Source organism: Homo sapiens, chromosome 12, assembly GCF_000001405.40.
Source record: "Homo sapiens chromosome 12, GRCh38.p14 Primary Assembly".
Taxonomy (NCBI): domain Eukaryota; kingdom Metazoa; phylum Chordata; class Mammalia; order Primates; family Hominidae; genus Homo; species Homo sapiens.
The window spans coordinates 80,189,804-80,214,628 of NC_000012.12; the positions used below are offsets into that span (position 1 = coordinate 80,189,804).

Here is a 24,825-nt window from a genome sequence, read left to right on the forward strand (position 1 = left end):
GTCTTCTTTGCGCAGGAGTAATTTGAAGTGAAACCAAGAAATCAGTTAGCTATACGGGAGGAAGCTCTGGAGGGACAGAAAACAGCTGGATGTAATAAGAAGACTCACTCCAAACTGGTTTCTACTTTGTCAGACTTGACTAGACCTCCATGGTAGCTTGGGTGACTGGAAGTGGGAGACATAGGTTGACAGGATCTCCTGACCCTGACCACAGCATCTCCGGCCCCATTTTTGTAGCCGGCTGAAATATTACAGATATTGCATTTTAATTAGGATACATAGCAATGCAGTAGTTTTTATGATTTATTTTGGCACATGATGGCATTAATAGCAAATTGTATTTGGATGTGACTTTTAGGCTGCTTTATGCATGCTTATCACTGATACTTGCTGAGTCATTTGTTTGGGAACAGGATGTGCTGTGCATCTTAACTGATAGATGAAAGAGCTTCCCCAGTCCGGTAAAACGCAGATTTTAATTAGCACAATTTTAAAATATTTTAATGCTTAGAAGCCATAAAATAAATTCAAAGAAGCACAACAAAATAATTAAAGCTGAGTTCTACCTTTTCTTTTGGACACCAAGATATCACTGGTATCAAATCACTGTTTGCCATTTGGGAAGAACCTATTCACAGCTTTATCTTTTGCCAAAACCGTGGGCAAAGTGAACACTGACATCTCAGTTTAAGAGTGAATCCAGGCCGGGCGCGGTGGCTCACGCCTGTAATCCCAGCACTTTGGGAGGCTGAGGCGGGTGGATCACGAGGTCAGGAGATCGAGACCATCCTGGCTAACACGGTGAAACCCCGTCTCTACTAAAAATACAAAAAATTAGCCGGGCGTGGTGGTGGGCGCCTGTAATCCCAGCTACTCGGAAGGCTGAGGCAGGAGAATGGCGTGAACCCAAGAGGCGGAGCTTGCAGTGAGCCGGGATAGCGCCACTGCAGTCCAGCTTGGGCGAAAGAGTGAGACTCCGTCTCAAAAAAAAAAAAAAAAAAAAAAAAAAAAAAGAGTGAATCCAAGTTTTGTTTCATGTTAGCATCCTTAGTGGTTTCTTTTTAAAAATAGTTCTTCCTTTACTTTGTAGTTCATGCTTTTCCCAGAGTGGTACAGAGGAATTTAAATAATGTTGCAGCTAACAGGGAAAGGCCAACCTTTCCACCTCAGGCAGGCGAATTCACTGATTAGGCTTTCTGTTATTGCAGAGGAGTGGGATGGGAACAGACAGGAGTAGTGTAACCCATAGGCCTTAGACCACCTTCTCTTTACCTTCTAGGATAGATCAAACCTGGCCATATGACATCTTCAAATTTATTTTTCATATTGTGACTTTAAAATTATTGGATACTGGCTGGGAGCAGTGGTTCATGCCTATAATCCCAGCATTTTGGGAGGCTGAGGCGGGCAGATCACCTGAAGTCAGGAGTTCAAGACCAGCCTGGCCAATATGGCCAAACCCCGTCTCTACTAAAAACACAAAAATTAGCCAGGCGCGGGGGTGGGCAGCTGTAATCCCAGCTACTCGGGAGGCTGAGACAGGAGAATCGCTTGAACCCAGGAGGCGGAGGTTGCAGTGAGCCAAGATCGTGCCACTGCACTCCAGCCTGGGTGACAGAGCAAGGCCTCAAAATAAATAAATAAAAAAAATAAAATTATTGAATACTGTCCAGATAATGTTTTGGAACAAGGCAGAGACGAGCTAAGTGAATTTTTATAAACCATATACTGTATTTCTTAATATATTCACATTTACTCAAAATAACCAAATATGATTACATTTTATAAAGTTTTATTCTGTTATTTGTCCTTTAAAATAAGAATGCAATATTTAAACAGTTGGCCTCTTACTGGGACAGAATATTGAGAATTTATTGACAACAGGTGGTGTTAAACTAGTGTTATACCAATTACATTGTAACAGAAAGAATGATGGCTGGGGATCAGCAAGCGTAAGGCAGTCCTGGGCTCAGCTTTGCTGCTCACTAGCTCTCTGACTTTGGACAAATCATCTCGCTCTCTTGTGAATGGCAAGAGAGGAACTAGAGACTGCTGTACCAGCTTTACATACTGTGGTGCATTAGATGAGATTTATATTTTATTGAAATATCACTTAGAATTCTAAGCGATATTTCATTCAATTTTGCTTTCAAGAAATCCATATTCACTTATAAGTTATTACATTAGCTATCCCTTAGAAGAATCGTATTTTCATCTCAAGAATATGTAGAACATTGTGAAAGAGGTATCAAGACTGATCCTAACCACTGTTGTTGTTTTCCTCCTCTTCTTTCCCTGACTTGTGTAACTTCCATGTTTGGATACATTGTTTTGTCACTCTTGAATACCTACAGGACATATGGCAAACTTTTTGATGAGATCAGTAGGACAAGTCAGACCTCAGAGCAAAACTTTCTGCTCAGCAGTTGTTTCTGTTCTCATACACTTTGCTGTGTGGTTGATTTTCTAACTCTGACAAAACCAGTGCAGTTCTAGGAGGGGCCCCGCCTGCTGGTCCGGTCATGGTCAACTACCCTGCCCTGACTGAGATGGCCATAGCCTAAGATCAGGCAGGGACCCCTCCTCCCCATGGAATTCTCTTCCAGCTTCTTATTCCTAGCCCCCTTTCTTTGCTCTCACCGTGTGATCTGACTTTCTCACAGAAGTTTGTGGGAAAATAGAGGCTATGTTTGCCCTCCATGTGGTTAAAAGTGAATTTCCATGCTGGAAACATTGCTTCACTAAAATAAGGTCCTAGATTTTACATAAAAAAAGGAATTTTCTCCAAGATGCTGTGAAGCATTACCCAACTGCCACTCTGGTCACTAAAAATAAAAATAGCATGCTCTCTTAACAGGCAAGTCTTTTTGGAGAAAAATGCTGTGTAATTCTAAGTGAAAAAGAACATGAGTATTTTTGTCCAATGTCTTCGTATATTTAGGGGAAATACCGTCAAATTAAAAAAATTCTGATAATTGATGAAAATGATTAAGACCTAGTAAGTGGTTGTTAGAAATCATTTTTTAAATCATAAAAATCCCAGAAGTAAGTACCGTGAGTATATAGTATGTACCCAAATATTTCATGAAAAAATAAAGGTTACTACTCAGATAATCTTTGGCTGAAACTAAGAGATGAGGGAAATATCCTCTTCATTCTTACATAGTATGGGCTCATTGAAAATACTAAAAAAAAAACCGAATCAGTTGAATTTGAGAAAATTGTGGAATTTTTTAGCAAGATTTGGAACATTGAACATCTAGATTAGGCTCCCTAAGTCCCTTCAATTGGACAATATAAAATGTCCTCTAGATGGAGCAGCAGGCTTTTTCTTTAAGACAAAGAATTCTTATTTTTGTGAAAGGAACTTCAGAACTTCATTTTAAACAGAACATAATTTAAAGAACCTTATTCTTAAGAATAAGGTAAGCAGGCCAGGTATAGTGGCTCACACCTGTAATCCCAGCACTTTGGGAGGCTGTGGTGGGCAGATCACAAGGTCAGGAGTTCGAGACCAGTCTGGCCAACATGGTGAAACCCCATCTGTACTAAAAATACAAAAGTTAGCTGGGCATGGTGGTGCATGCCTGTAGTCCCAGTTACTCGGGAGGCTGAGGCAAGAGAATCACTTGAACCTGGGAGTTGGAGGTTGCAGTGAGCCAAGATTGTGCCACTGCACTCCACCCTGGGTGTCAGAGTGAGACTTCATCTAAAAGTAATAATAATAATAATAATAATAAGGTTAGCATATATTATTGGGAATATCCATTCTTTGATGAAGGAAATGTTATATTTCAGACAATGTAACTTATCCTCATATATGCTGGAGTAAAATGCATTTGATTTAAAAGTTTTCCAAGTGAGATTCACTGAGTTTTGGAGGCTTGCGGTACATGTGCAAGAGCCAGGAAGCTATGGATGTTCTTTAAAGATGTGAGTATAACTGAGAGGGAGGAATGGTGAGGACTGAGAATGACAAGGGTTAAGGAAAGTCCTTTTGTTTAGACAGAAACATTTTCCAAAGATGGTTTCAGTGTCTGCCTAAATTGGATTTGTGAATGTGAAATATAGAAAGCTTGAAGTCATCTGACACATCCGCCTCATTTTACAAAAGAAGATGCCAAGACCCAGAGAAGTAGCTGTCATTCTGTTGTATCAGTGGAGTTAGTGATGGCACAGAACAAAATTGGATAAGCAGTGTAGTGGACCTTTGTTGTTTTAGCTGCCTCTGACTAACAACACTGATTTTCTTTTGGGAATTATACTCCTCCAAGTGTATGGAATCTTGGAAAGCTAATAAAGGAAGCCGAGGGGTCCCTAGATACTCCTGTATAGCCAAACGTTAGGCATGTGACCTAGTCAGGCACTCGAGGGACTTCAGATCTTCAGCAGAGTTTTTATAAGGAAATATGAAACAGTTGGAATTCATTTATTTTAGATGATAGCCTAATATTCATTTTACTAAGTATGATTCTTCAACCTTCCTGCTAGTTCTGTGGGATCTCCAATAACCCAATAATTCCCCTTTTTGCTTAATGCTTGGGCAGAGTTAGTTTCTTCCGATACTTGCAACCAAAGAACCTTGAGAAACTCCCTAGCCCATCAATGAAGCAAGACCTTCTAATTGCAAATTTAAATCACCCAACAGAATCACCATAAGTCACCAAGAGTAATATAAGACTTATTCATATAGGGAAAATAAACACACTCTAATCCCATAACCAAAAACATAATCAGAATATTATGCTCTAATTCTTTTGAGTCATGACAAATTTTCAATTATAGAAAGAAGAATCTGACAATACTGCTGTAATAAACATTTGTTGACTAAATGAGAAAAAGTTTTCCATTATATAACATTATACTAGAGAGCGCTCTAAAATATATTTAATGTAGCACTTACATTTATTTTTTCTGATTATAAAAGTAATACTGATTTATTTTGCCCAGATTTATCTTAAATATTAAAATTTAAAAAAATAAACTTTCGCTTGTTTTCCTATTAGAAATCAGAAAAGGGGCAAATAAATACCAAACTGGAAACATTGTACAAGCCACAAGCCATATGATATTTGAATCAGACTAAAATAACAGTGGAATAATGAGTTCTTTACAATTTTTTTCCCTTTCAAATTCCTTCTCAAAAAGCATTTGACTTAACCCTATTACTTAGAAAAAGTGTTGCAAAAGCCTCATTTTAAAAAAATGTAATTCCTTTTAATGTACCCAGCAAGTGGACCCTCCCTCCCTCTCTCCCTTTTTAATATCTCAGAATACAATTTTTAAAAGGGAGCTTGATGTTTATAAGTTTCTTTAGGCTATTATAACTAATCTTTGGAATGATTCAACATTATGTGATTTATAAACTGAAAAGTCTCATATGTCAACAATGAAATCTACTAGAAACAGGCCATTCTTATCTTAATAGCATTTTAAGACAGAATTTGCAGTTTGGCTCAGCTTAGCAAGGCAGGGAAAAGAATGGTTAACAGCCTGAGAGCATGCACACTGACGTTCAGTAGTGAGCCAGCAGAGGGCTTTTCTGTACTTGCAAAAAGCAACTTGTTAATGGCAGATTCCTAGCTCAATTGAAGAATGATTACTTTATGGAATATAAGGTCATGCTAAAGGGAAATCAATTTCCTATACACAAGGTAAATAAAAATAAAATAGGCTGGTTAGTAGAATGAAGGCAGACAAGGAGTTAAAATAGGCTGGTTAGTAGAATGAAGCTTATATGATTTAATTCAGCCTAATATTTGACTTATTAATGAGCCATCTTTTTGAAGATCACAATGTGTATTACTCAGATAGAAGTCCAGGTAAAAACTTATCAGTCTGTGGGGCCCACTCAAGTTAGATTTTGATATAGACAATGCCCTATCATGGCTCTTTAAGGGTCACAGTGGTGTGCTGGAGCCAGCTCCTGGTGGCTCCTGAATGCCCATTATTAAATTTGGAGGAATTTTGTGAGCCGGTTGAAATCACATTAGTAGCTTAAAATTGGCCATAGTGGGAGTATTTATACCATGGACATCTGCAAACACTACAAAGTAGGGTCCTCCCCTTTCCCCAGTGGAGGTTGTTAAACGGTTACCAGAATATCACTGAACATAACAAAAAAGGGGATTTTCTTGAGAACTGTGTCATCTAAAATCATGAATACATTCTCATGCCTGTTCATGCCTGTCTTGTCCAGCCCAGCTGGTATGCAAAAAATCATCCTTGAAGGTTTGATTTCATCTTTCAAATATTGGGAGTTCAATCTGGCTCTTTCTCTACTAATAAGTGAGTGGGGTCTGGAGGTGGATTCTGGAGCCACTAGTGTTTGCTGTGCAGGTGGATGAGATGGGGAGCATCTTGGTGTGTCTGTGAGCCTTGGTGTATCCATGAACATTGAGCTACAGTCCCCCTCCTTTTCTCCATTGCTTAATTTGTACCCTCTGTTTAAAATGCAGTCAATGCAATTTTTCCCAGGGACAGTTATCCTATCTACAGCCTTTCAACTATGCACCTTACATGACATCTATCATTGTTGATGTGATAATATTGTTATTTATAAATGTAGACGGGGTCTCAGATTTATTAACGCTACACTAAGATGTACAATGAACAATTAGGTTTTTATTTTTATTTTTCTGTAGTTGACCTTATGACTGTCATTCACTGCTCTGTTTGGATGACTTAGGTAAATGTCTTTCAGAATTCCAGTCCTTTGCCTGCTGGCCCCTAGGTGTGGGAAGTGGAGGGGGTTTCACTTGTTCTTGTCTGTCTTAGGGAGACTGGTTCTTCCACCTGGACATCGTTCCCCGGAGGCATGTTGGTCTCTGCTGCAGGTGTCTGCTCTGGGCTTCTCCTTAGGCTGAGGACCTTTGCTATACAAATGGTCTTCTCCCTAGGGCTCTGCTGATATCTGCAGCTGCTGATGAAAGCCACTGTAACCCCTGCTTTGTTCCAGTTATTTTCTCTGATGATTTAGGGCTCTATATCAGCTCTTACTGGCTTTGTGAGAAGTCTAACTGGATTTCCTCCTCTAGGCCAGGGCCTTCCAAATTTAACCTGAGACTGGTTAAGGCCATGAGGGGAAGGGGGTGGTCGGACATGCCTCATTATGCCCTCCTCCATTTTATAATTCAGGAAAAGCCAACCAGTACTTAACATCAATACACACCTTAAGTCTGATAAGAAACATTTACAATCTATTTTCTCTGAAGCCTGCTACCTGGAGGCTTCATTGGCATGATACAACTTTGGTGTCCACAACCTCTTATGTAATCTGGGCATTCCTTTCTATTGATAATAACTCTTTCAGCCAATTGCCAATCAGAAAAATTTTAAATCTACCTATAACTTGGTAGCCCGCCATTTCAAGTTGTCCCACCTTTCTGGACTGCACCAATGTATATCTTAAATGTATTTGATTGATGGCTCATGTCTCCCTAAAATGTATAAAACCAAGCTTTGTCTCAACCACCTTGTGTACCTGTTCTCAGGGTCTCCTGAGGGCTGTGTCATGGCCATGGTCACTCATATTTGGCCCAGCCTCCCAAGTGGCTGGGACTACAGGCACCTGCCACCATGCCCGGCTAATTTTTGCATTTTAGTAGAGACAGGGTTTCACCATGTTGGCCAGGCTGGTCTTGAACTCCCGACCTCAAGTCTCCCAAAGTGCTGAGATTACAGGTATGAGCCACCGTGCCTGGCCAGAATAAATCTTTTTAAATAATTTATAGAGTTCGGCTATTTTTGTCAACACCACTGAAATCTGTCTATGAATCCCTGACCATGCTATTCAGCCTGCAGACTTCTGCTACCGAGGTGATTCTTAATTCAGAGGCCCTCTTACAGCTCTGAAGCAGAGGCAGGAAAGCCGATTCCACAAAAGGCACTCTAATGGCAGAAACAAAGTATGGATAAGCAAAGAGATGAGTCGAGTTCAGCTCTCCAAGGCAGCCCGCAGAGGCGTGTGGTGGCATCTTTCTCCTTCCCACAGTCCCTCTGGATGTGAGCGATGGGGTTGAACTCCATTCTCCTCTTTCCTCACTGGGGACTCTATCGTATGAAACCCTAAGATCTAGTCCCTCAATCTTTCCTCTTAATATGTACAAGGGGGACATAAGTAGTATAAAAATTTCTTTCTTTGGCTTTCAAACTTTCTATTTTTTTTTTACAGGTAAAATACTTCATTTTGTATGTTTGAAGCTGATTATTATATATTCCTTTCTTCCTCTTTGTTTTCTGGCCAAAATCATCTAAATCCCCAAGGAAGATTTGTGGGAGCAGGCCACAAGAAATTGCAAAAGAGAAGGACATATTGATATACTTAAAATATTCTCCCCGTTACATATGCTTAACTTCTCTCACCCCCTGGAGTAGAAGCTTTTTCAGAGAAGTCTCTTCTGCTGTTCAAGAATGGTTCTCTTTTGAGTATCCTCTTTTATCTGTGTCTTCAATATCTCCCTATTTGTGGTAAGCTTCCTATCAGTTTAAAAATAATTACCTGGCTGGGTGCGGTGGCTCATGCCTGTAATCCCAGCATTTGGGGGGCCGAGGCAGGCGGATCATGAGGTCAGGAGATTGAGACCATCCTGGCCAACATGGTGAAACCCCATCTCTAATAAAATACAAAAATTAGCTGGGCATGGTGGCACGTGCCTGTAATCCCAGCTACCTGGGAGGCTGAGGCAGGAGAATGGCTTGAACCCAGGAATTGGAGGCTGCAGTGAGCCGAGATCATGCTACTGCATTCCAGCTTGGCGACAGAGCAAGACTCCATCTCCAAATAATAATAATAATAATAATAACAACCTGTATCCTTCTAAATAAATAAACAAAACAACTCTCCATGGACTTCACATCTATCCAAACCTGAATCTTCTCTGATGTTTCCTATCTCAGTAAATGACATCACCATCAACTTAATTAGTTGTGCCAGAAAACATTATCCTTTACATCTTCTTTCACCTCATGCCCCATGCCTGATTAACTAGCAAATTCTATTACTCTGTTTCTGAAATCTGTTTTGAATTAGTTTCTTTTCTCAATTCCATACCTTCCATCCTAGACCAAATAGCTATCATCTCTTGTGAACTACAGTGGTTTCCTGTGGCTGTTTTCCTCCATTTAGCCTTGTTCTCCTTGAATACTGAGTGATCTTGAAATTAAAATATACATAACCTGTAATATGCGTGTGCATATTTATGTGCAATATATTTGTATATGTGTACATATATGCATGCACACAATCCTGTTTATATTACTCCTTTGCTTCAAACTTGCCTTTAGCTTCTGTTATTGGGATGAAGTTCAAAATCTTACAATGGCCCAAAGCACTTGAATGACCTCACTTTGCTATACCCACATCCCAGCCTTGTGCAATTCTCTCCCTAGCTTACTTTGCTCCAGTCACAGTAGGTCTTCTATTTCCTCAAACCTACCATGCTTTTTCCTTCTTAAAACATTGACATAAGCTATTTTCTCTGCTTAGTAGAATCTTGGTTCTCTGGCTAACTCCAGTTCTCAGTTTAAAACCCTTTCCTAGAAGACCTTCTAGATCCTCCCCTTTCCTGCAAGGCCCTTTCAGGGCATCTTGTATTTTTCTTTAATAACACACAATTGCAGTTGAATGATTATTTTTATCATGATTTTAATGTTGTTTTCCTCACTGAATTGTAATCTTTGAAGAGAGAGGCCATCTTATTCATTGAGCTATTTCTTCTGCTTATCAATGGAATAATAGTGCCCATTGAATTAGTTTAATAGATGATTTGTGTAAGTTTTATTTGTATAGAATTCATACCATCTAATGTATGGTTTTACTCATAATAAATATCTCAGAACTTATATTAATAATTATTAATAATTTTCATGATCACTTGTCTTTTTCTCTCTGCCTGCTTCTAGGAGTCTCTGTTCTCTCTTGTCTATATGAAAAGAGATCTTTGTGAGATATTTGTGTGCAGCTGCATGCAATGTAGCTCAAACCAGGAGGAAAGCCAGATGCTGGATGCTGAATTGCAGCACATTACTATCAGATAGCTTTAAACAAAATGACACTGGAAACTTAATGAATCTCAATTGCTTACAGGATCAAGTCCATACAAATTAGTTGAAACATAGGGCTTTGTATCATCTGAACTTTTCCTCCCTTTCTAATCTCATTTCCCATTACACTTCACCCCATGTTCCAATCCTTCCCACTGAGCTCTATAAGCACATCAGGAAAAGGAGATGACCATTGGCATCATCATTATCATCATTGTCACTAACAATATTTACTAAGCATTAATCTAGGTCAAATACTGCATGTGAGCCTGTGGGGAAATATAAAGATGCATAAATCAAGATCCCAGCTCTTAATCACCTATAAACCTAGTAGAAGTGACAGGTATACACATGAAAGATAAATAGGAATATAAATTAATTAAATTGTAAGTGCCAAGGAGTAGTTAAGAGTGGGAGCACAATTTCCTAAGATGTGAAATAGTGCTCTGCCTTAGGTTTATGTGTCCACAAATAAATGTGACTATGGAGAAACAAGGAAAGGTAAGGAGGGGATATTTAATGTTCCACTTTTCTCTATGAAGCAATTCCTGTGATTTTGTCCATTGCTTTTGTACTCCCCTTCTCCTTCATCTTCAAAGCTATTGTAACTGCAACCTGAATTCATAATACAAATGAATAGATATTTTTCAATGATTGAGAACCCTCATCCAAGACTCCTTGAGCCCTTGGCTTGTGAACTTGGGAGATGTCATTTTACAAGCTCAAATATATTAGCTTGACCTGTGGAGGGCAATGCTTAGATTCATCCACATGGAGGAGTTAGCTTCGTCTATTGGATTGAGGACATGCACAAAAACACTGAGCAAGAAGAGGCTTTGGTAACTCTGCTTTCCCCAGGGTCTTACAGCAGAGGCATACATTAATTTGTTCAGTCAACAAATATTTTTGAAATACTGTGTTCAGTAATGAGGAAAAGAAGATATTATAATGTGTGTCATGCCCTCAAAAATTCATAGCAGGTAAGATGGACTCATACAGAAATAAATATATAATATACTATGATGAGAAAAATGGCAGTGGTATGAATGATCTACATCACAGAGAAGGCTGAACACTTTGGCAATGGAGGACGCCTACACCAAAAGGATAATGTTTAAATTTAATCTAGAAGAGAAGCAAGAAATAGCTTTGCTCTGGTGGAAAAATACAGTAGGTATTGGTGCCCCTTTGCCTACAGAGATGCCACAACCCTGTGGCACCTCCCATCTGTTTTCCCAGAGGTAGTAGCCCTTAGGCATAACCTATGGAGGCAAGTGGAACTGGATGCTTTCTTCTAGGCCTGGGGAATTATTTTTCTTGCCAAAGAAACCTCTTTGAGGTTGTTTCTGGTTGGAGTCTGTGTTGGTCTGTTTTGCATTTTTATAAAGGAATACCTGAGACTGGGCAATTTACAAAGAAAAGAGGCTTATTTCGCTCTTGGTTTTTCAGGCTGTACAAGAAGTGTGGTGCCAGTATCTGCTTCTGGTGAGGGCCTCAGGAAGCTTCCAATCATGGTGGAAGGTGTAGGGGGAGCAGGACTGTCACATAGCGAGAGAGGGAGCAAGAGAGCGAGGTGGGGAGATGCGAGACACCTTTTAGCAACCAGATCTCATGGTAACTCATTACCACAGGGAGGGCACAAAGTGATTCATGAAGGGTCTGTTCCCCATGACCCAAACAATTCTGACTAGGCCCTGCATCCAACATTGGAGGTCACATTTAAACATGATTTTGGAGGGGACAAACATCCAAACCCCATTAGAGTCCTCTCCACATGTTTCCTCATTCTCTTGGACTAGTGGCTACCCAGGACATATACTTCTAATGGATTTCATAAATGAAAGAGAACCATCCAAAACTCTCAATCACATAGCAAGCCTCTGCAGAAGTTATGCCTGCTATCATTACACTGGCCAGAGAAAGTCAGTTGGCCAATTCAAACATCAACAAGCAGGGAAAATATAATTTTTCTACCTCACTAGGAGGTATAATAAAGGTACCTAGAAGAGCAAAGGCATATCTATAATTCTATGTCAGGGAGGCAATGAATGAAGAACTGGGAATAATAACCTAATCAATCCAAAAGCATTCCTGCCTGCTGCTGTCTGCATTCTACCATCTGATTCTTAAATGAATGCTTTTATCCTGAAGCCACTCAGTGCCAAAAAGAGCCTGACAGATCTCCAATCCTGTCAGAACTTCCCTGTGTCATTGAAGTTTCCCTGACTCCCACCAATAGAGCACTTAATAGAAATCTAACTCACAGGTTCTCTTAGTTCTGACTCCTCATAGCAGAAGAGTGAGCTGGACTCAGCAGAAGGCTTGGTGGTATTGAGATCACTTCACAGCACTTCATTTCTGTTCCCGTTCGGGTTTTCACTTACAACCTTTATCTGTCCTCTTGTCTAGTATCTTTTCTTTAATTTTTTTTTTTTTTTTTTGAGAAGGAGTCTCACTCTGTTGCCCAGGCTGGAGTGCAATGGTGTGATCTCAGCTCACTGCAACCTCCACCTCCCAGGTTCAAGCAATTCTCGTGCCTCAGCCTCCCGAGTAGCTGGGATTACAGGCACTCGACACCACGCCTGGCTAATTTTTTTGTATTTTTAGTAGAGACTGGGTTTCACCATGTTGGCCAGACAGGTCTCAAACTCCTGACCACAGGTGATCCGCCTGCCTTGGCCTCCCAAAGTGCTGGGATTACAGGCCTGAGCCACCGCGCCCAGCCTGTCTGGTATCTTTCAAGGAGGTTTTTCTGGGAAAATGTACCTTTATTTTTTTGCATGTATGCATTCCAATTCTCCATTTTTTTCTATGTCTAAATGGATGATTTGGGAACCTTGGATTAGTAGACCCCCATCTAATTCATAGTACCCCTCAGCAGAAGGACATGTTATTAGTCAGGGTTCTCCAGAGAAACAGAACCAAGAGTTACTGGATAGAGGTAGTCATGGGAACCACCGCTTGTCTTTGCTTCCTTCTGAACATCTGCTCCATTCTCCTACTTCTTTCTGCAGAATAGCTCTTTTTTTGGTTATTTAATAGCATGCACATGACTAAAAAATAGTTGCCATCTCCACTTCTGCTGGACCACAAAGCTCCAGGGCCCACAACCTTATGTCAACACATGACCTTTATCCCTGTGATTTACATTTCAATACCTGAGAATGAGAATTAGATAAGTGTTAGGACTACTAATATGTTATTTTGCTTAGCATCAAGTGCCTATTCCTGGTGGCCAGAGTGTGAATGCATTCATTTTCTTTACTGCTGTAACAAATTACCACAAATTTAATAGCTTAAAACAATGGAAAATTATCTTATAGATCTGGATACCAGGAGGCTGAAATAGGTTTCACTGGGCTAACATCAAGAGGTTGGCAGGACTGTATTTGTCTGGAAGCTGTAGTGGAGAATCTGTTTTTGCCTTTTCTAGCTTCTAGAAGGTGTATGCCTCATTTCTGACTGCTTTTTCCATCTTCAAATTTTTTTTTTTTCACTTATAAGGACCCTTTATCTGGCCCACACTTATAATCCAGGATAATCTCCCCATCTTGAAATCCTTAATCATATCTGTAAAGGCTGTTTTGTTATGTTAAGTAAAATTCACAGATTCTGGAAATTAAGACACAGACATCTTTGTTGAGGGGGTGGAGGGCAGCACCATTATTCCACCAATCATAGTGAGGGTCATAAAGATGTGTTGCCAATGGAACAGAAGCTGTGAGTGGGAGGAGTTTCTTTGCATAAAGAGCGAGGTAAGAGTACCAAAATTAAATAACACATCTACTTCATTTTCCTGAACAGCAAACTGCTCAGTAGCGGGTAGTGAGATTTTTCCATCCTCTGTTTCTTTCCCCTCCAGTGGAATCTGTCAGCACTCTCACATTTGTAATTTGCCTGGACTTCTTTTTCTTACTAGAATGAACTAGTATTTAATTTTCTCAAGAAGCTAGATTCTCTTTTTATCATAATGCAGATGCCTAAACCCCTTAGACTTGATGAGAAAATATGAGATGCCGTGAAGGATGGTTTGGGAATCTGTGCTTCTAATAGGTTCGCTAGGTAATTCTTACACACACCAAAGTTTAAGAATCACCTCTGCATTCTCAGTAAAGCTGATAAGTTTATCTTGTTAGAAGAGAAGACTGAAGAAAACCTTCCAAGGGAACTAGTATATTTTCACTGCAGCTTTTGGGAGATAATGATAACAATTTTGCATGTAACTCAGTAAGACTCTAATTCACGCTGGGGGTATGGGAAGAGGTCATGTCAAGATAAAGGGGAAACCTTTTTTGTGGGCTGATCAAGCTTTTTTTGACTCTCAATTCAAACGAAGGGCATAATTCCTTCTAAGTTATGTTTTCATACTGATTTGTGCTGTGTTGAATATCACAGTAATGCCATATCTCCAAAAGCAGTTTTCCATATCAATCTTGCCAATATAGGGGAAGCAGAAGATGATAGGCTAACGTTTGACACTCCAGTGGCTCTTGTCATAAATCAGATTGCCAGGTGTCTGATTTGGAACCTTGGTGTTGTATGAAGTCATCCAATCACGACATTTTGGGATTTGACAGGTTTTGTTTTATAGTTTAAATAATTGGATCCAAGTATAGCACGCTTTCTTTACAAATTTACAGTTATTTATTTTGAAGAACGTTTGTTTGTAAGTAAGCTAAGTAAGTTGTAATTAAGTTGAAAAAGTAAGAAAGAAAATATATAAAGTAACCTAGAAAATAAAAGCGTGTAATTTTTGATGCTTGGTGGTTTGGTTTTAATAATATGGCAGATTACATGATATAAAAATCTTCCAAGTATAAAGTACTTGGAAGTACGGAATTTAATAAAATAGTCAACCATGTAAATGGTTGAATAAGTTCACTAGAATGTAAGGAATATTACCAGAGACCAGAAACAAAACAGAAACTGGACTTGGTTTACTTTACTTTATGTTTGGGATTTGAATTTATATTCTGTGGTCTGTGAACCCTTAAGCTGAGAAATTAACATGAAGCTTCCTGGAGCACTTGGCAGAAGTTGGTACAAAATCTTTTTTGGAGGGGAACATACTCAACTTTGGTGGTAAAGGATTCCCATATAAAATGCCCTGCCAGACATGGACCCCAAATTCAAAATTACAAAATCCATGAAGTCATCTATCCTAAGTGAGAGAAACGAACAACAAACAACAAGATTAGAACCACCCCTACTGCCACTAAAAAATTGAAATAACATTCTTTCTCAACAACTCTAAAGTAAGTACATAAAAATTATTGAAGATATAAAGGAATTCAAAGCATGAGAAACCAACTTTATGGTATTAAATAGTGCCTTACATTAATATTTTCACTATATGGTACAAGTGCAAAGTGTTGTAGTAGTTCAGAGAATGAAGATAGCTGCAGAAACTGAACTCGATGCTAAAATGTTGACAAGAGAAAACTTTAGTTGAAGAAACATTACTTCTTTCAAGGTATCAATTAGATATTACAAATCAACGGCATCACAGCAAGTTGAAAAACAAATGTCGCTATAAAACATAACACATTAACTTCTGGGGATGAGTGTTAAATTGAAATCATGACCAACACAGATACTGCTTATGAAATATAATCATATCCTTACTCAGAAAAGGTAAGATAGATGCTACTTCTAAAATTATATGAAACATCCCAGAAACTGCCAAGCAACACACATCCAGAAAGCACAAATAGAATACTACAAACTATCTTGTAATAAGACAGTTACATTCAGAGTGGCAAACATCATTTTAAAGATACAAGATTCTATTTGCTGGCTCAAATGATAACATAAATTCTGGATAAAATCTATGAACTTGAAATGTGTTAGGTTTAGTAACACAAGTAAAGAGTATTTGCATTTCACTAGCAGAATGTGATATTACGGGAGTCAAATGTTATCTACTTTAAATTTGTTGTCAATTGATGAAAAATGAGTGTTATGTAAATCACCAAAGAAATTAACTTTCCTCAAAAATGATGAGCTTCATTACAAATATCCCATTATTATCATTGACATATATACTCCTCAATAAAAATTTTCCCATTCTTGCCAGTTGTTTTAATGTGTTGGGTTGAGGCCAATAGGCTGTCAGGTGTCACTTTCTAAAGATCATATTCCATGTGGGAAAATGTGCAGTGCTTTTGTAGCAGAAAGGGAACTGTTTATTGCTTGTATTATGTAGTTGTCTCAGACTTCTTATGAACTTAATATCACTTCACAAGCTGGTGGCTGGCTTACTTTTTGCCAAAGTTCTTTTGTCAGGGTGGAATGAAATATAAAAGCTGTCAATTACATTTTGACAGTAATAATTACATGTAGCAACAGTCATAAATTCTGTGTTTTGTGGCTCTGAGTCTAATCTTTCATCTAAACTCTCTTCTATTGCAGCTATTTAAGGAAGTCTGTTTTGCTTATTTTCATGCAGGCTACCATTTCATATATCGAGTTCATAATGTAGTTAGTTGAAAAAGGACTTGGGATTTTTGTTATTGTTCTCTTTGCCATTGTTCATTCTCCTTTTCTAACATTTTTCCTACTATGAGCCTGGATGGAAGAGGAGCAGAGAGAAGACATACACCAAAGCTTGCTCTATCTATAAAATAGTAACAACCCTGAGGCTTCCTCTTACAAATTCTACTATTTTTTTCTTTATTTTTTGAGACAGGGTCTTGCTCTGTTGCCAGGCTGGAGTGCAGTGGTGTGACCTCAGTTCACGGCAACCTTGACCTCCTGGGCTCAAACGATCCTTCCACCTCAGCCTCCATAGTAGCTGGGACTACAGGAGCATGCTACCATGCCCAGCTAATTGTTTTGTATTTTTTTTTTTTTTTGTAGAGGCAGAGTTTCATCATGTTGTCCAGGCTAATCTTAAACTTCTGAGCTGAAGTGCTCCCTCCCAAAGTGCTGGGACTACAGGCGTGAGCCACTGTGCCTGGTCAAATTCTACCAGACAAAACCACTTAACAGTTTTTAAATACATATAGTTCAAAATAGAAAAATAGTCATAAAAACATCAAATAATACAGGCTTGAACTTTTCAACTTTATTCAGTGAAAATGACTGTGATGCTTTTGAATAAAAACTTTAAAGATACTATATGAAACTTGAGATGAAAAGTTCAGAGTTACTACATTTTAATTAAGTACATACGAATACCAAAGTTTGTATCAGAAACACATAATTTTCACATGACTTTACATTGCTGCTTACTAACTTTTTTTACCAAGTTCTAGTAGTGTTAGAAATAACTATTATAAAATGTTTATTTTATTGAACTGTAAAATTTAACTTTGGTTTATGCTTGAGATTTTTCCATATGGCTGTTATTTTTGGAATTTTTTTTTCTTTGATATGGAGTTTTACTCTTGTTGCCCAGGCTGGAGTGCAATGGCACGATCTCTGCTCACCACAAGCTCCGCCTCCCAGGTTCAAGTGATTCTCCTGCCTCAGCCTCCTAAGTAGCTGGTATTACAGGTATGCGCCACCACTCCCAGCTATTTTGTTTTGTATTTTTAGTAGAGACGGGGTTTTTCCATGTTGGTCAGGCTGGTCTCAAACTCCCGACCTCAGGTGATCCCCCTGGCTCGGCCTCCCAAAGTGCTGGGATTACAGGCCTGAGCCACCACGCCCAGCCCTGACTTTTGGAAATTTTTAAGTCAAGCAAAAAGTCAAACAGTTACTAGATTAGGAAAAATAATCCTGAAGTATGATTTATAGATTTTTCATAGTGTAGGTTAAGTTATATGGGAAACTGTGAAGGCAAGAGAAACTATTGTAAAATGAGGAGTGGACTTAGTAATGCATATTGGTTATATACATTTCAACTCTTTCCAGAAAAAGTCAATAAACATTCTGCATAAACTAATTCCCTTAATTAAAAATATTTTGTTGGGGAAAAGTATTGTCTTCTAAACAGATTTCAACCTTAGTCTTTTAATTTACTTTGTAGTCACATATTCTTAAGAATCTAAAATATTTTATAGTTTTGCCTGTGGTTGAGTAAATATATATTTTTGAACTAATATTTGGAATGTAATTATACATAAGTTAATTATGTTAGATTTATATGATTGTCTAATTAGTTCAAGAGTAAGAGACTAGTAACCTTTTAATAAATAATATTAAACACATACTGTACTTCAATTAATTAAACCTATTCATTAAAAATTCAAAATGAGTGTGAATGTGTGTGTACATGTGTGTGTGCTGGAGGGGGGACAGTCACATAACTACTTTATAATTTTAGTGAAATTTGGATGTATTTTCATGCTTAAGCTTTTTCCTTTATAGACAAACATCTGTTGGCTCATGGAATTAGCTATTATTTCGGCAATGGAAAGGAATTATGGTTATCTAGAGCAAGAGTAAATGATTATTGGATTTGGAACACAAACAGGAAACTGTTTATATAATGAATGTTGGACCATGTAACATTAGTTAGGATGTCAAGAATACTTAATAGAAAAGACTCAGAAGTCATTGCAGAAGAGTTGTCTGGGTACAACAGGATATTAACAACTGCTGTGCCTTTTTGTTTCATAAAGTACTTCTGTGTGGCTAGACATTCCTTACTACTGCACACTGGTCTGTTAAATGACTTTGATAATAGTGCAGTTAACTCATGGGATCTGCTGTAGAAATGTGCACCCACTATATAAGCATGGTTTTCACTAAGGTGTGGGGCTCAGATCTATAAATTTCATTATGACATATTAGAGCTCTTTTCTCATGCCAATGTAAGCAGTCAATCCCTGTTAAAGAATAGTGCCCCTATTGCTGAAGTAATAAGTCTGTTGTTTAATTGGGTATTTGTCACAGAGGATGGAAAAACAGGGTGTGAAGGGAAAGTTTTCAGGGCTGGGTGAGTTACTTTATTTTCTTTTCAAAGTCAAGTATAGAATATTATCTTTTTTTAAAAATTGCTACTTTTGTTGCAGGATGTTTAACAGAAATATCTGTGGGCCCATGAACATGTCAAGTTAAACTATACTGTAATGGGACTTAAAAATAGATGCACATAGTTTTAGTGTACTTTTTAATTCCTAAAGAAAACTTTTAATTATTCAAGAACATGTAGACATCCTAGGAAAGATTGACAGGGTTTTATTTCACCCTTTTTCAAAGGACAGTAATTATTTTATGAATAAAATTCTAAAATGCAAAGATTAGATCAACCATTAGGAATAATGGTTATCTCTTGTGGCTTCAGGAGATATCAAGAGATATTTCTTTTTATTTTAATGCTGCTGTCTTGAGAAGGTAAAAGGTTGATATAGGCTAAAAAGGCCTATGATGTGCAGGTGTGGGTGTAACTAATACGGGCTCAGGTAAGAAGCTGCCATGCATCACTAATGAGAGACTCAGCCAAAGGGTTGTCTGCAAGTTCTAAAGCTTCAGATGCTGTATGTAGTTGGAAAGCCTGGAATTCCTTTTTGAATTACTTTATTACATAGCTATATTTATTAGAATTTGAGTACCCTACAAATATGCATACTTCTAAGATGCCATCATAATAAAGACCATCAATTTGGTTACATTTCAGGGGGAAAGGCTACACTGAAATGAACATTGTAAGAAAACTCAATTTAATGATACCTTGGAGTATATTCTTGCTTCATGTACTGCTGTTTTCATTACAAGGTAAGAACTCAGATTAAATTTTTATGTTAATTTATTGTATTTTTGTTTCTCTTACAATTTATACAAATAGTTTTCCCTTATAAAGCACTTTGAAGTCATTAGAATGAATTGTACTAAATGATACTCAGATCACCTTTTAAAAAATTCTTAATAATGTAGATAATTTGGACCTTTTGGTTTTCATTTTTTGACTCTTTGCAAAATGGCTAGTTAAAAATCATGCTTTTATTATGATATGCAATTGTACTAGAACCTTTTAGTTTTCATTTCTTGAATCTTTTTTAAATGACTGGTTAAAAATCATGCTTTTATCATGATATGCAATTGTATTAGAAGAAGCTGTGATTCTAACTTTTTTCTTCTAAAAGATGATTTAAAATAATTGTCTATTTGCAATTTAAACATTTGAAATTTTATAATAAACAGCAATTGAGTACTTAAACTTTCTTCATGCCATCAACCCAAAGAATAGTAAAAAAATGTTTAAAAATAACTAACATCTGGGGCTAAAAATTGATTTTAATTATTTTTATGGTAATTTTATTAATAAATTTTCTTGCTATTTGATTTTTTTTATTATGGAAAGCTTATAAACACACACAAAATTAAAATGACATAACACACCTTCACGTGCCTTCACCCAGTTCCATAACTATCAGCATTTTGTGGAACTAGTTTTACCCTGTTACACATTTTTTCTTGGAGTATTTTAAATTCATGAAATACATATTATATATTTTTAATAGATAAGCACTTTATCACACCTAACAAAATGGGCAAAGAATTGATTTATTTTCAGTTGTTGATTTTTAATCCCTGTAAAGGTCTGTATGCTTTGGAGCTTGTAGGGGAAATTGGAGAAATTGCTTAAGTATAAAAGACCACAGAGGTCAAAGGTGCTATTTTCCAATTCCAGTTGTGACTGAAACCCCAAGGAGAACGATGTCACAGAATCTTGAGAGCTGAGGAGACTTTGCAGATAACTTGTCCAACACCATCATTTTATGGTGTGCTTGGCATTTTGTTTAAGCTTGGCATATAGTAAGTGGTAGGACTAGAACTAAAACTTGGAACTCTGATTCCAAGGCTAGTGTCTGTTCAGTTGCATGGTGTCTCTGTGTAAATCCATGTACACTGCCCTTTCTTTTTAGCTTATCAGTCATTCAGTGTCTCACAGGAAATTTGCTGGTCAAATCCCTCTAAAAAATGCAAAACTAACAGCAAACTTCAATCAGAATTTTAGAATTTAGGTTAAAATGTTCTTTTAAACAACTGGAACATGTAGCCAATATATTTGGATAATTTTTTTTCATTCTTATATATTTGTCTCTGGCAGAATATATTTGTGCATCGTCTATATTGATGGGAACATCAAAGTGAGTATTTCTTGTTCTTCGTGTCCTCTAAAACATAAAGTTAATGGGAATGAGCAAACCTCAGCAGGCAACTATATCTGCTTTTGAAAAAAATAAGTGAAATGTTTTACAAAAAAGCATGAAATATACTTTAAAAAACATTTCTGCAGATTAAAAATGATCTAGCATTCATTTCCTTATTTATGAAAATATTTCCTTTCCTTTTAATTACAAAGTATTTCTTTTCCTTTTAATTATAAAAGGAGTCTTTGATGACTGTTGGTACTAAAAAGATATTACTTTCATTTCAAAAGTTTGTAAAATAAGTTATATTCCATAATATTATCCTTTACATTATTATTAATATACATTATTGATAACAAATGTATTATGTTCATTTTTAGCAGAGTAACATTTTTTAATGATAAAAATAAAAAATTGTTTTAGCAGTAAATAAAGAAAATCATTTTTTGGACTAAACTGATCTGCTTAATGAAAAGCAGAATTCTATTCACCATTTGATTTTTTAAAAATAAAATGTTTATTGATAAATATAACACAAAAACAGAAAACATTATAAAGCAAATATATGCCTTAGTGAATTATTAGCCATTTGATTTTGATAAATTGCAATTTGATGTTTTTACTTACATTAATGTTAACTTGCCCTTTATGACATAGCACAGGAGAGAATTAAGTACTGTTTGAACAAAGGGAAGGTACAAATACTGACCTCACTAGATTTGCAAAGTCATGTGGGGAAAATATTGCAAGGGTTGGTGCTACAATGTTACACTATTTTGTTTATTTTTCCATCTCAAAGTTCCTTCCTAATATTCAGTTCACATCAAAGACTGGAGAAATTTGGGGACACTTCTGAATTTTGTAAAATGAGACAGCACCACCACCCAAATCTAACCCCTCCAGAAAGGGGAGGGAGGACTTTTTAAATGTTAAACCAAGAAAGACCTCTTTGATAAAGTGATGGAAATCAGGAGGAAAACACCAGCTCTCTCTTGGGAAAGGCTTGTTCAGGTTGCCTAGGGGCCTTTGACTGTACAAGTTCTTTTTGTTTTCTTCCAGAAACGGGTTTAATGAAAATCGACAGAAAAGAGCTCTTTTAGCAGCACAGGTAGGTTATGCTTCAGGTGGAGAGAGAGGCAGAGAAATAATCCATTCTGTTTTGGACTCTGCTGTCACTTCAACAATGAGACCTTTGTGGAGGGGAATAAAATGCTAAGAACAAGACAGGAAGGAGGAGGAAGAAGCAAAGTAACCTCTATTGCTTTTCTACGACCATCGAATTCATGCTTAGGTCACATCGACTTGTTTGGAATAAAATACACATTTTTTTTTTGCTATTCAGCTCAGTTACCTACTAATAGGCTTGAGGCATTTAATTCCATGCACTTGCCAGAAAATTAGAAGTAGTTTAAAAATTAAGCACAATATCAGTTAGGACAATGACAACAGTATAATGTACATGGAAAAAGGGGCCGAAAAATGTGTAAATAATATGAGTTAAATACTGCAAAAGGGCATCAGATATGTCCTAATGTCCTGACAGAAAGTTTTTATAATGTCTGATAAATCTAAATTGTGGGTGTCTCTGAATAGGTAACTTTTTTTTGGAGGGGCAGCGTAGCACTGCATTTGAGGAGACCTTCTTGCCCGGGTGCCTTTATATGAAGGATAATTGCAATTTCTTCAAACTGGTTGGAATGCTCAAATGGATGGGTTTAAAAATATTTCTCTATAAAAGATGGATGGTAAAATACAGAATCCTAACTTAGTAAAGGCATTTCTTTGAAAAGGAATATGATTTGAGTATTTATGTAGCAGACAGCTTGAATATTCAAGGAAGCCTTTGTTAAATGTTGAATTGCAAATAGTTTTTATTAGCGTTTTGTGATAGATGTCTGAATTTGTGTATTTTATAGTGTTAATTGAAGATAATTAGTAGTTAAATAGAAGACAGATCTGATATGCTGTTGTGTCTGGTTAGAAGACAGAACTGATTTATTCTTATCAAGAGTAGAGACCTTTTTTTTGTTCCATTGTTACTGGAAAGGGGTCCTGACCCAGATCCCAAGAGAGGGTTCTTGGTTCTCATGCAAGAAAGAATTTGGGGCAAGTCCACAGAGTAAAGTGAAAGCAAGTTTATTAAGAAGGTAAAGGAATGAAAGAATGGCTACTCCATAGGCAGAGCAGCAGCATAAGCTGCTTGACTGAGTATACTTGTAGTTATTTCTGACCATATGCTAAACAAGAGGTGAATTATTCATGAGTTTTCCAGGAAAGGGACAGGAATTTCCCAGAAATAAGAGTTCCTCTTCTTTTAGACTATATAGGGTAACTTCTGGATGTTGCCAGGGCATTTGTAAACTGTCATGGCGTTGGTGGGAGTGTCTTTTAGCATGTTAATGCATTATAACTAGAGTATAATGAGCAGTGAGGACAACCAGAGGTTACTTTCATTGCCATCTTGGTTTTGGCAGGATTGGGCCGGTTTCTTTACTGCAGGGTCTTTATGACCTGTATCTTGTGATGCCAGTCCTGCTGACCTCTTATCTCATCCTGTGACGAAGAATGCCTAACCTCTTGGGAATGCAGCCCAGCAGATCTCAGACTCATTTTACCCAGCCCCTATTCAAGGTGGAACCACTCTGGTTGGAGCACCTCTGACGCCAGAATAGGCAAAGGGTTGTCTATGGAATGGAAATACATTTTATTTTTCTTAAAAAGAGTGTTTTGTGTACTGATATACTTAAGTGTCAAATTGGGGTTATACTGTTGTCCATTTAGATGTTTTCAGCATTTGTATACTTTACTCCCTTTTAGTGAGAATGAAGAGCAGGAGACTTGTACTACTTCCTAAGGCTAGAAAACATGTGTCAAAATCACTTATTTTCTGAACAATTTTTAAAAGAAGAGCGGGCAATGAGGTCATAATCTTGCACTGAGCTGTTTAGAATTGGAATTTCATGTGTTACAAGGCCATTCTTATCCATACATTCACTCTTCTGCTCTAGGAAAACAGAGCACCAATGGGTAGATAAGTGCGCAAATAAGGACTCAGAAATATGTTGGCAATGAGGTGAGCAAGAAAGGGTAAACGCAGACTTCTGTAAATAGTGTATTTGTGTGCTGCAGTGATTTCCCATCTAAAGACTGTATTTCCCTGGGCCTCTCTCCGTCCTGTGGAGATGTAATCAGGAAGGAGGAAGGGTGGGCTGTCCTCTTATCAGTCATGTGAATACATGCACCTACTGCCTGGGACTTTTTTGCATTGGCATTACATTCCAAAAGTTCCTTTCCTGAAAGCAGGCCCTAAGACATAGACTTAGGTGCAGGTCATTTATTTGGAAAGTGTACAAATAAAGGAGAAAGGAAAATGATGTGAAGAAGGGAGAAAATAAAATATGGGGTGCATTAATGAGGGGCTTTCTGCTGTAGGCAGCTGGAGCTCAGTCTTATTGGAGACTTTCTGAAGAACCATGTAGAATGCGTCCTAGAATAATTTCTAGGTTGAGGGAAACCTCTGGAGAGCCTAAAATCTCCAGGAAGGCACTTTCTATAGTCTTTTCTGCTTGGACTCTGCCCTCAGGCAAAGACAGAAAGAAGCTAGTGCTGAAGTTGCAGGCTTTCAGTGTGCACAGAAATCCAGATGAATTCCAAGGTGAATTCAGAGGTGGGCTGAGAGGATGTGGGGAGAGGCATCAACAAAGTCTGCTGCAGTCGTGGCTCTAAACACCCTTGGGAG

At 37.7% G+C, this 24,825-nt stretch overlaps 1 protein-coding gene across 5 annotated transcripts in view; it reads left to right on the plus strand.

Moving 5' to 3' along the window:
• The window catches only part of OTOGL (otogelin like), a 281,344-nt gene that overhangs the window by 90,267 nt on the left and 166,252 nt on the right, over positions 1-24,825 (plus strand). For 4 of the 5 annotated variants that reach the window (NM_001368062.3, NM_001378610.3, NM_001378609.3 and 1 more), the window contains 3 exons: positions 19,610-19,707; positions 21,044-21,083; positions 22,146-22,194. In NM_001368062.3, the coding sequence (NP_001354991.2) occupies positions 19,629-19,707; positions 21,044-21,083; positions 22,146-22,194 (168 nt within the window). In that variant the 5' untranslated portion in view covers positions 19,610-19,628. Of the gene's footprint in view, positions 1-19,410; positions 19,470-19,609; positions 19,708-21,043; positions 21,084-22,145; positions 22,195-24,825 lie in introns of those variants that run through there. The other variant, NM_173591.7, reaches the window with a different exon arrangement.